The 13669-nt window shown below is 36.5% G+C and overlaps 1 protein-coding gene across 23 annotated transcripts in view; it reads left to right on the top strand.

The window, feature by feature from the left end:
• Window positions 1-13669, top strand: part of NAALADL2 (N-acetylated alpha-linked acidic dipeptidase like 2) — a 1369567-nt gene that overhangs the window by 873128 nt on the left and 482770 nt on the right. For all 23 annotated transcript variants that reach the window (XM_017006077.3, XM_047447876.1, XM_017006075.3 and 20 more), the window contains one exon: window positions 10066-10216. In XM_017006077.3, the coding sequence (XP_016861566.1) occupies window positions 10066-10216 (151 nt within the window). The remainder of the gene's footprint in view (window positions 1-10065; window positions 10217-13669) is intronic.

Consider the following 13669-nt stretch of genomic DNA (forward strand, 5'->3'; position numbering starts at 1 on the left):
TTCTCTCTTACCTTCTCTGGCATTAATTTTCCTTGAATAATAAAATGTTACTGCCGTGTCCTGCCCATATATTGCTAGTACCATGTATTTCAGAGCTGATTATTTGGCAATTGATAGGACCTATAGGTTTATGTACTATACATCAAAAGAATGTCTTAGTATGGTGCCCTGCAAGAAATATGGAATCAGCCACCTTGCAGTTGGCCAAAAATATTTTATTTATAAAAATATGTCAGCAAGATAAAATTACACATTCAAACTTCGTTGGGCTAGTCTCCACCACACTCTTCATCTCTACTCTTAGATAACAAAACAAAAATCAAAATAAAATAAACCTATTTTTAATTATGTATTTTTACAGAAGGATAAAGAGAGAACATAACACATTTAATTAAATGTATTGTGTCTCAAATTTCAAGAGCAAGCTGATTAATACTTACCTTCACATTCTAACTATATATATATATATATATATATATATATATATATAGGCTATACATACTGTAAAATAGTTTTGAAAAGTAAAATTAGCGTTTTCTAGTATATATAGTTCTAACTATATATATATATATATATATATATATATATATATATATATATATATATATATATAGTTAGATAAGGTACCGCAACAAAATGTATTGTATAAGTTTTCTTGCCAGTAGGTGTTAATGGTCAAGCAAAATAGCATCCATGTAATACACTTGTACCATATACAGTATGTTTTTCATTCATTCATTACTGGATACATATCATAATTTATTCATCAACTCGACAACAATAGAAATATTATTTTCTGCTAGGCACTCTATGAGGCATTGGGTAGAAAAGATGAAGCTATAAGGTTCCTGCTTCAAGCCAGTCACAATCTAGTGCCACTGCAGTTACCTACCAAGTCCTTTTTAATTGCTGGGAAGAAAGACAAAATACAATGTCACTTGGTTTACTGTGGGCATACAAATACTTCCAATGATGCATTCTTTGTTATTGTTGTTGATGGAGCTATAATGTAGCTTGATGGGAGTTGACTGACCTTGGGTGTAAAAACTGAAAAGTGTCGCAGCATGACTAAGGACTATTTCTCAGTTGCTAGTCTAGCACCCTGTATCAGGCACCTACCTTGCTCATGTTGGGATGTTAGCACCCATGAAAACTTGGACAAGGATTACATTGAGTTAAGCACTTAGTGATTCTTTGAGCTAAATAATAGAGGGTGGGAGGCATATGTAAAGGAGGTTTGTTTAACGATCCCTGTATTCATTGAAAATGTAATGTGAAATATTTATATATTTTTGAGGGAGAATCATTAACTATGGAAGGATTAGGAATTATCAGTAATGGACATTTTGTATAAACATGTTAATAAATTTATGTAATATTTAACTTCTCTCCTGGGAATAAAACACTTTTTGAAGAACTTTTAGGGTAGAAATATTCCCAATATAAACAGAATATTGAAAGCTGTGTTAACAGTGTTCATTTAACCCTGTATGATTATGCAATTGTCATATACATGCAGCAGCATATTTTAGGCTATAAATACTGTGAAATAGTTTTGAAAAATAAAATTAGCATTTTCTAGTATAAAATTAGAGCTGAAAAGGAAGAAAGGAATAGTTTATTTACTCAGAAGAATTTTAATGGGTAGATTCTAAATATTTCAGTTTTCTTTATATTGTGGCTAAAAGAAGTTTAATACAAAATTAAAATGTTCTTACTATATATTCCCATAAACCACATCATAACACTATTTTAAGGCTTTTTTAACAATAGAAATTTTGATGTTTTGGGGGGAGAATATATTCCTCACCAATAGTTTAGAAGCAAATTTCATATATGACCCTATATTTAAAAATGCAATTAATGTGTCTTTGTAAACATTTAACAAAATCATTGAGTTAGACTACATGGTTTTTCATTTAGAGCAGAAAGGATCTTTGGGAACAATATAATTCAGTCTTTGCATTCTTTGGATGATGAAACCAAGGCATAGAAAAATTATGTAAGTTGTCACATAGCTATTTAGTATCAAGGTTGGTACCAAATTTCTGAATTGTTTCCCCTACTAATGATTTTTTACCTCTCTTGGTTATGATGTATTTTCAAGTAACAGAAGCCTTGTCAAAGAAAGGGAGGAAAATATTACCCAGTTCAAGTAAAAGGAGTACAGCAGGACCTGGAGTCTGTGCACGGTATTCCCTCTTTTGCCCACCCTCATCTACATTTTCTCTGACTGTCTGCTCCTTTTTTGTCAACAGTTTCCATCAAAAGGCTCATAGTTTCTGTACCCTGAGCAAGGTGGTTATGTCGTTGAGCATGGCAAAGGACCTCCCAGCCTATCACATATAGTTATTTGAGAGAGATAAGTCAGGAATAGTTGAAGTTCAGTGTCAGGAAATCTTGGCGTAAGACTTGACCCCGTTTTTCAGGAATTAGACCCCCATGTAGTCATCGTTCTATATCTTAAGCTATCTCAAACCCTAAGAGGTACTGAGCAGGACTAAATACTTTTGCCAAGGGACAATCTGCCACCAGCTGAAGCAGATAGCCCAGAGACAGCAGATTTCACCCCTTTTATGTAGCTTTGTCTTTGAATGCATTTTAAAAAATATAGTCCTTCCAGAGTAGCATATTTTTTCTGAACATTTTAGACAACCCCAACCTCAGCATGTTCAAAATGTAGTTAACAATACAGAGGAACACTTCTCATTTGGTTTGGTATAAGCAGTGTCTTTTATTGCCAACTTCACTGGAAATCCAAAAATAGATAATTTCTGAAATTAAGTGTCTTTATTTCTAAATTAAGAGCACTATGATGGCCAGTGACAGATGCCACCAGGAGCCAAATTTGACAGCATTGAACAGGTGTTCATCTCAGGTCAAACCATTGCAGGCAGACAGTGGAAGAGGGAGCTAAATCACATATTGGGCTGTATCCCTTCAGGGCTGTGGGTGAGTAATCTCTAGCCAAAAATAGTATATGATTACACCCTATTGCTTAATTATAGGCCATCAGCTATAGAAAAATTCACGTTCTGTATTGATTATAAAAGGGGTCACAACATGTTACCAAATATACTCAGAAGAGACACAACTGGCAATTCTAGCTTGATACTTTTGACTTAGCTCTAAAACACTAGGTTTCATGAACATTGAACAGTCAAATAGTTATTGTACTTACCTTTACAGAAGGAGTTCTTGAGGATATTTTGACTATCCCACCAAAGCAGGGTTAGCACATTAAAAAAAAAATGTGGATTCCCATATCCCTTTCCTCTGCTTGTGGAAGACATCACTCATAGAACCACTTTTGCAATGACCCTGAACCTGACCTCACAATCCCTCCCTAGACAGCTATTCTTTCCCAGTTAATTGGAGTTAGCTCTCAAGATAGAAATATTTGGCCATCCCGCTGGTAAACTGAACTTCCTTAGATGTTCACAGACCTTGTCCTACTTCTCTCCATATCCCAATTCCAGTGTTTTACTTTCAAAAAAGTGACACCCAATATGTGGTTATAGATGGATAAGTGGCCCAGAAATCTTAAAAATAGTTTTTCACAACAAGTAATTCTCAAAAAAATATGTAAATAGCCCAAATCATACAGAAATAGGTTTAACTTGACTTGTAATTAAAATATATGTTTTTGACAAATTATTTTTGGGTACATTGGTAAATATTGCTTAAAAAGAAATAATGTTAATTGTTGGTGAGAATGAAGAGAAGCAAAAACATATATAGCTAGTAAGACTCTAACTTAGCTCCTCTGAAGGGAAAATAGCTTATCAAAAATCATCAAAAAATGAATGATTTGACCCGGAAATTCCACCTGTGGAAATATATTTCATGAAAATAGATATTGTTGCAGAGATTTTGCTACAAGCATGTTTATTGCATATAATATTGAAAAATTATAAAGAGTTTAAAATTATTTTAATTAACAAATTAAAAATTAACAACTGTTATATGACTAACAGTCAGGGATTCGTTAAATAACATGTATGCCTCTCTTTATAGTAGTATTTATATTATATATATGTAAATGTAACAGTTTATGGCAATTTAAATTATATAAAATTGTATTTATCAACAGACAAATGTTTATTTTGTACTGATAAGCAAATGAAAATGCAGAGTAGCATTTATGATGTGGTTTTACTTTGTTTTAGTGTACGTATGTATGTTCATAAACCCTAGTAAAAGGGTCTAGACACCCCATCAAGTTAACATTAACTATTTCTTGACAGAAAAAATGATGGAACTTTTTTTTCCTTTGCCTACACCTTTTTCTCTGTGATGATCATGAATTACTTTAGTAATAAAAGGTAATTTTTTAATATTTAGAAACTTGCTGTCCAGCGAAGTTTTTATTTTTTTCCTCAAAAAACTTTTGTTAGTTTTTATTTATTTAAAAAGTAATACAGAATACTGAAAGAAGATATAAAAATGAACAATACTCCCACCTACAGAATGCCACTCTTAACATTTTGCAGTATGTACATTCATTTATTTACAAACAGATATTTTTGTTGTCTATTGAGGCATATTTTGCATACAGTAAAATTAACCATTTTAAGGTGATGTGTGTATGATATATGATGAATGTAACAACCACTACAATCAAGATACAGAATATTTCCATCTCCCTCAAAATCCCCTCCTCACCTTTGTAATTAAACTACTCTCCCCAACCGCTCTCTAGCAATCACTGATCTGATTTCTGGTCCCAGGGTTTCAACTTTTTGAGAATGTCATGTACATGGAATTATACAGGAAGCAGCTTTTTTAGTCTGCCTTCTTTCATTTAGCATGATGCTTTTGAGATTCATCCATGTTTCCCTTTTAATTGCAGAGTTATATTCTATTATATTTTTATATATTCTTCTATAGTAAGCAAACATTCAAAATCATTCAATTGATTATTCTTTTTAAGAATAGCTATTTCTGCATGTAAACATTAGACTCTCCCTCCCCCACATGGGTGGGGGTGAGGATTTGAAGAGTAAGTCTTAAATGCAGCTCTCTCATTCACACATTCTTTGCTCTTTTTCCTTTTCTCATTCCCCATTTCTCCTTAAATTCTTCCCTCCTTTCTACTAAAACACTGAAGGGAAAATAATGACAAAAGTCTGATATGCATGGTTGTTATAGAAGAGAAATTAGTCATTTGTGTTTTACTTAGGTTCTCAATGTTAGTTTATTTAATCATAAAAATAATACATGCTGTTCATTACACCAAAAATTGGAAGAGCATTTTTAAAGGACTAGAAAAAATGCCATTATTGTGGCATACTTAAATTCTATATCTGTTTCTATTTTTGGCACATTGTTTTAAAATCATGCTATATATGCAATTGTGTTTTATTTTTCCTAATAGGAGGGCTTCCCAAATATTTTCTCAGGGCTCTCCTTTCTTTAAGAATTGCTGGGCAGGGCGCGGTGGCTCACACCTATAATCCCAGCCCTTCGGGAGGCCGAGTCGGCAATATCATTTGGGGTCAGGAATTTGAGACCAGCTTGGCCAACAAGGTGAAAGCACGTATCTACTAAAAATACAAAAATTAGCCATGCATGGTGGTGCGCGCCTGTAATCCCAGCTACTTGGGAGACTGAGGCAGGAGAATGGCTTGAACCTGGGAGGTGGAGGTTGTGGTGAGTCGAGATTGCACCACTGCAATCCAGCCTGGGCGACAGAGCGAGACTGTGTTTCAAAAAATAAAAATAAAAATAGCTGTTGTGCCTAGGCTGCATCTGTCTCATTCATTCTCTCATTTAGCAATACTCTTGAAAGCCTGCTAAGTGCAAGGTGTACAATGATAGAGAAGGTAAGCACAATCCCTGTCCTCAGCGAATGGTGCTGCCTTGCTTACTCCACTGCAAAAGTTAATACGCAACATAAGCAGTAATTGGGGAGTGAAGTATGGTTGTTAACTAAAGTCACACAACGAGCAGTGACTGCCTATATTGAATATGACCTTCAGTCATGTTCTCCTTTATTATCTTTATGTTCTCTAATTACTTTTCCTCTCTCTTGAAAAACTAATAGAATTAGCAAATCATGATTATTGTTTTTCATATGAGATAAGTCATACTAAGATGACTAAAATGAATAAGCTTTTTACAAAAAAAAATCAATTTAAAGAGTTAAAATAAAAAGAAACTTAGTATATTGTCAAGTTCTTCTGTTCCATCATACTTATGTATTGTGTGCTTACCAAGGAACAGAGAGGAATCTTTACGTTAAATATGTCTCAAATGACAGGGTCTATTCTCAAAACATTTAACGACGGGGGCAGAACAAGGGTTGATCTTTCAGAAGGAGACCCCCATAAGGTTACGTGTAAATTCCTCAGTTGCTATATCTGGGAGGTCTGGCTGGTACCTCCAGGCAGAGACCAAGATGACTAGTATACTGGGGTCTGTCAGGAGGTTCAGGACAGTGGCTATTTTCTAAACAGTGTGACAGTATTTCAACATTTTAATGACTGGTGTGACAGGCTCAGCCCTGGAAAAAATATGTTACAATACTGCAGGTGATTTCTGCTTTAGGGAAAGACATAATGGTCACAACAACTCTCCTTTTAAAATAAGCAAACACCTCTACGCAAATAAACTAGAAAATCTAGAAGAAATGGATAAATTCCTCGACACATGCACTCTCCCAAGACTAAACCAGGAAGAAGTTGAATCTCTGAATAGACCAATAACAGGAGCTGAAATTGTGGCAATAATCAATAGTTTACCAACCAAAAAGAGTCCAGGACCAGATGGATTCACAGCCGAATTCTACCAGAGGTACAAGGAGGAACTGGTACCATTCCTTCTGAAACTATTCCAATCAATAGAAAAAGAGGGAATCCTCCCTAACTCATTTTATGAGGCCAGCATCATTCTAATACCAAAGCCGGGCAGAGACACAACCAAAAAAGAGAATTTTAGACCAATATCCTTGATGAACATTGATGCAAAAATCCTCAATAAAATACTGGCAACCCGAATCCAGCAGCACATCAAAAAGCTTATCCACCATGATCAAGTGGGCTTCATCCCTGGGATGCAAGGCTGGTTCAATATACGCAAATCAATAAATGTAATCCAGCATATAAACAGTGCCAAAGACAAAAACCACATGATTATCTCAATAGATGCAGAAAAAGCCTTTGACAAAATTCAACAACCCTTCATGCTAAAAACTCTCAATAAATTAGGTATTGATGGGACGTATCTCAAAATAATAAGAGCTATCTATGACAAACCCACAGCCAATATCATACTGAATGGGCAAAAACTGGAAGCATTCCCTTTGAAAACTTGCACAAGACAGGGATGCCCTCTCTCACCACTCCTATTCAACATAGTGTTGGAAGTTCTGGCCAGGGCAATTAGGCAGGAGAAGGAAATAAAGGGTATTCAATTAGGAAAAGAGGAAGTCAAATTGTCCCTGTTTGCAGACGACATGATTGTATATCTAGAAAACCCCATTGTCTCAGCCCAAAATCTCCTTAAGCTGATAAGCAACTTCAGCAAAGTCTCAGGATACAAAATCAATGTACAAAAATCACAAGCATTCTTATACACCAATAACAGACAAACAGAGAGCCAAATCATGAGTGAACTCCCATTCACAATTGCTTCCAAGAGAATAAAATACCTAGGAATCCAACTTACAAGGGATGTGAAGGACCTCTTCAAGGAGAACTACAAACCACTGCTCAAGGAAATAAAAGAGGATACAAACAAATGGAAGAACATTCCATGCTCATGGGTAGGAAGAATCAATATCGTGAAAATGGCCATACTGCCCAAGGTAATTTACAGATTCAATGCCATCCCCATCAAGCTACCAATGACTTTCTTCACAGAACTGGAAAAAACTACTTTAAAGTTCTTATGGAACCAAAAAAGAGCCCGCATCACCAAGTCAATCCGAAGCCAAAAGAACAAAGCTGGAGGCATCACGCTACCTGACCTCAAACTATACTACAAGGCTACAGTAACCAAAACAGCATGGTACTGGTACCAAAACAGAGATACAGATCAATGGAACAGAACAGAGCCCTCAGAAATAATGCCGCATACCTACAACTATCTGATCTTTGACAAACCTGAGAAAAGCAAGCAATGGGGAAAGGATTCCCTATTTAATAAATGGTGCTGGGAAAACTGGCTAGCCATATGTAGAAAGCTGAAACTGGATCCCTTCCTTACACCTTATACAAAAATCAATTCAAGATGGATTAAAGATTTAAACGTTAGACCTAAAACCATAAAAACCCTAGAAGAAAACCTAGGCATTACCATTCAGGACATAGGCATGGGCAAGGACTTCATGTCCAAAACACCAAAAGCAATGGCAACAAAAGACAAAATTGACAAATGGGATCTAATTAAACTAAAGAGCTTCTGCACAGCAAAAGAAACTACCATCAGAGTGAACAGGCAACCTACAAAATGGGAGAAAATTTTCGCAACCCACTCATCTGACAAAGGGCTAATATCCAGAATCTACAATGAACTCAAACAAATTTACAAGAAAAAACAAACAACCCCATCAAAAAGTGGGCGAAGGACATGAACAGACACTTCTCAAAAGAAGACATTTATGCAGCCAAAAAACACATGAAAAAATGCTCATCATCACTAGCCATCAGAGAAATGCAAATCAAAACCACTATGAGATACCATCTCACACCAGTTAGAATGGCAATCATTAAAAAGTCAGGAAACAACAGGTGCTGGAGAGGATGTGGAGAAATAGGAACACTTTTACAGTGTTGGTGGGACTGTAAACTAGTTCAACCATTGTGGAAGTCAGTGTGGCGATTCCTCGGGGATCTAGAACTAGAAATACCATTTGACCCAGCCATCCCATTACTGGGTATATACCCAAAAGACTATAAATCATGCTGCTATAAAGACACATGCACACGTATGTTTATTGCGGCACTATTCACAATAGCAAAGACTTGGAACCAACCCAAATGTCCAACAATGATAGACTGGATTAAGAAAATGTGGCACATATACACCATGGAATACTATGCAGCCATAAAAAATGATGAGTTCATGTCCTTTGTAGGGACATGGATGAAGCTGGAAACCATCATTCTCAGTAAACTATCGCAAGAACAAAAAACCAAACACCGCATATTCTCACTCATAGGTGGGAATTGAACAATGAGATCACATGGACACAGGAAGGGGAATATCACACTCTGGGGACTGTGGTGGGGTGGGGGGAGGGGGGAGGGATAGCATTGGGAGATATATCTAATGCTAGATGACGAGTTAGTGGGTGCAGCGCAGCAGCATGGCACATGTATACATATGTAACTAACCTGCACAATGTGCACATGTACCCTAAATCTTAAAGTATAATAATAATAAAAAAAAGAACCTTATGTATGGTAGATCCTCTATTAATCCAAAAAAAGTAGAAAGTTAAAATCCACTTAGTTAAAAATCAGAGAGTGAGGAATTCCATGAATAGACAATTGAAATAAAATATAGACATTATAGCAATGCTGGTAGAGATAGAGAAAAACCGGAGGAAAAAAAAAAAGGCCAGTAGAAAAAGCTTCTGGGCTTGATAGAAATCTAAAATCTCTGCTTATTTTAAAAGAAAAGGCCGGGTGCAGTGGCTCACGCCTGTAATCCCAGCAGTTTGGGAGGCCGAGGTGGGCGGATCACGAGGTCAGGCGATCGAGACCATCCTGGCTGACACGGTGAAACCCTGTCTCTACTAAAAATACAAAAAAATTAGCCGGGTGTGGTGGCAGGCGCCTGTGGTCCCAGCTACTCGGGAGGCTGAGGCAGGAGAATGGCGTGAACCCGGGAGGTGGAGGTTGCAGTGAGCTGAGATCACGCTACTGCACTCCAGCCTGGGCGACAGAGCGAGACTCCATCTCAAAAAACAAACAAAAAAAAAAAAAAAGAAAAAGAAAAAGAAAAAGAAAAAAAAACTGGAAAAAGAGTCATCTTATCATAGCCACATTGGCAAAATGGCACTATATGAACTTTTAATGTGCATGATAATATTTTTAATAGCTTGCTTCCCTCTTTTAGCTTTCCTCATTGGAAAAGGCTGGATTTGGAGGTGTTCTTCTGTATATCGATCCTTGTGATTTGCCAAAGACTGTGAATCCTAGCCATGATACCTTCATGGTGTCACTGAATCCAGGAGGAGACCCTTCTACGCCTGGTTACCCAAGTGTCGGTAAGTTTGTTGGTCATCATTATTATACTTGTAAGTAAGCATTACAAGGTTGCAATTTATAAATAAATGCTATCTATCAGGAATAGTGATGTCAAATAATTCTTAGCATCCCATCTTATTATTTTAAAAAGCAATTTATTTTTTATCTTCTCATAATTATAGACTACCAATTTGTTGGTATAAATTGGATTTAGACTGTAATGTATTTTTATCTCAACAAATTACAGTGTGATGAACAGACAGAAATGTATTTTATGTGTTATTGTTGATTGACTGATAAGACAAATTAACACCAGGTGTGACAGGTACTCCAGGTAAGCCAATAGCATGTACAGATACCCAGGAGCATGAAATGTCTGCTGCTTTGGGGCAGCTGTAATAACTTTAAGTCCAGGGTTTAGAGGTACATATGATCAAGTTAGGTGAGTAAAGTAGTAAGAAAAGATGCTGTAGAAGAATGGATTTAATATGATTTTCTGGCTGTCTTAAGAGAAGGGACCTCATTGTTTTGGCCAATCACTGGAAGTATAGAGATGGCTACTTTGCAGCAAATATCTTTCTTTTTCCTAGATAGCTCTGTTCATGATAGTAGGGATCATGTGGGAGAGAGAAAACAATGGTGATTTTGGCAGATGCTCACCGCATCATTGAATTTCTGTCCGATGTGTCATTGGCGGATATTCTGTTCATTCAACCTGGCTGAGGAAAAAGCTCTTTGAATCTTCTTGCAGGGTGATACTGACCCATTAACCGTGACAGTTCAGTCAGTAATTAAACTAACCCAAAAAATTATGTAATTATTTATGTGTTCTGCCAAATTTTTTTTGTTTTTTTTTCCCCAAAAAATCGCAAAAGAATTTACTGGTTATCTTACTCAAATCCAGCTGCCTATTCTATGTTAACTTTACCAATTAATTAGCAACTTTCTCCAAGAAGGAAGCAAATTGAATCACATATGAATTATAACTTATGAATTTTGTTGCATCTACTGATTATTGCTTTTTCTTCTATATGCTACAAAAGTATTCCTTTAATAATCCATGTAAATTTTCTCTGGGATCTCACAGATCTGTACTTTGTACAGTCCCATGTCTTATCGTTACAATTTTAAGTTAGAATTAGTAGGCATCTATCTACAATTTCTAGACATCACCTAAAAGACCAGTCAGCTCTCTCATTTGCAAATACACTCACTGTCCTGCATTGTAATTGCTCAGCTTCAGGAAGCTGCGTTTGGCAGTGAACTCACTGTGGCAAGTCAATGGGCTACAGTGCTACCAAAAACAGACTCTGTAAGAGTGCTCTAACCTAAGTTGGTAAGTTGGTAAGTTGGTTGGCACCATTACTCAACATTTTCTTGCCCCAGGTCATTTCATAAATACAGAATTCAGTCATAGCTAGCAAGTGTTGGCCAGAGTTGTAAGGAGTTTCAACATCCTTTTTTTCTACTTTTGTTCTAAAATAATCTAAACTTCCTAAAATAGTTGCAAGTTTAGCATATATAGAATCTCTGAAATGGCTTTATTCTGCCATCACCTTGACGAATAGTGTCTGGCTTCTTTTCATCCATACTAATGTTCTTATCAAATAGTGGCACCCTTTCTTTCTTCTCCTAGAAATAATTTTTCATTTTTTACATTACAAGGTTGCAATTTTCCAAATTTTTCTGTTCTACTTCTCTTTTAATTAAAAATTCCATTTTAAAACATTTTTCACTTCTTTCATTTTACTGTAAACAGTCAAAAGAAGCCATGTAGCACCTTGAACACTTTGCTGCTTAGATATATTCTTCTGCCACATAACTTCATTTATTGTTTTTAAATTCTACCTTCCATAAAGCCCTACGGCATGGACACAATTCAGTCAAATTCGTTGCCACTTTGTAACAACGATGTCCTTTACTTCAGTTTTCAGTACATTGTTCCTCATTTCTGCCTGAGACCTTATCAGAATGGCCTTTACTGTCGGTATTTCTGTTAACATTCTGATCATGACCATTTAAGTAATCTCTATGAAGATACAGCCTTCCCTACAGCTCTTGTCTTTTTTTAAATACCTCACCAGAATTGCTGTTAATAATCCTAGATTTGCTCACAACAATTTAGGCTTTTTCTAGCCTGTTCCTTTAAGTTCTTCCAGCCTTTACCCATTATCCACTTCCAAAGCTGCTTCTACATTTCTAGGAATTTGTTATAGCAAGAACCGCACTTCTGGTTTCAATTTTCTTACTCCATTTTGTGTTGCTATAATGGAGTGCTTGAAACTGAGTAATTTATAAAGAGCGGAGATTTGTTTCTTACAGTTCAGGAGGCTGGTCAGTCCAAGGTCAAGGGGCTCACATCTGGCAAGGGCTTTAATCATTTCATCCAGTGGTGGAAGGCATAATGGTAAGAGAGCATCCATGAGAGCAAGAAAGGGCCAAACTCACTTTTATAACATGCCCCTCAAAATAACGCGCCTGCTCTCATGATAACAGCATTAATCCATGTGTGAGAATACTTCATGATCCAATCGCCTCTTAAAGGTGGCACCTTTCAACATGGTTACTTTGGGGATCAAGTTTCCAACACATGAGCTGTGGGGTACACATCCAAATCATAGGAAATGATTATTAGAGGGACTAATCTAAAACTACCTTTTTTCAATTTAAGAACTTTGTTTTATTTACCAATTTAAGGGTGATAAGCTGTAAAGAAGTAATTTAGAACAACCCAAAATACAAGGAGGTAGTTTTTGTTTGGTTTTTAATATAAACAAAGTAAACACAGTCAAATAATGAACATTCCATACGCCTCACCCAGCTTTATCAACTGTCTACATTTCTTTTTTTTTTTTTTTTTTTTTTTCTGAGATGGAGTCTCGCTCTGTCGCCCAGGCTGGAGTGCAGCGGCACAATCTGGGCTCACTGCAAGCTCCGCCTCCCGGGTTCATGCCATTCTCCTGCCTCAGCCTCCCGAGTAGCTGGGACTACAGGCGCCTGCCACCATGCCCGGCTAATTTTTTGTATTTTTAGTAGAGACGGGGTTTCACCATGTTAGCCATAATAGTCTCGATCTCTTGACCTCGTGATCCGCCCACCTCGGCCTCCCAAAGTGCTGGGATTACAGGCGTGAGCCACCGCACCCTGCCTCAACTGTCTGCATTTCTACCATTTTTGTTTTTTTATATGTACGTTCCCACAACACCAGTATTTTTCAAGGTAAAATTTACATAAATTAAAATCCAGCACACATACGTATAGGAGAAATTCAGTGATGGGTAACTCAGGGTTGTTAGTACTTAGCTTTTATATAATATCTTAAGAAAGAACAAGAAACGTGTAGAGAAGTAACAAGACAAAAGAAAAGAGATTTAGCCTTTCAGGGGTAGCAAACTATGGGAAGATAAATAAATGGGGGGAAGTTAATGAAAGATAAAAGTTTTGTTTGAGTAAGGTTTGTTATGTAGTTCCTT

This window comes from Homo sapiens, chromosome 3 (genome assembly GCF_000001405.40).
Source record: "Homo sapiens chromosome 3, GRCh38.p14 Primary Assembly".
Classification (NCBI taxonomy): Eukaryota; Metazoa; Chordata; class Mammalia; order Primates; family Hominidae; genus Homo; species Homo sapiens.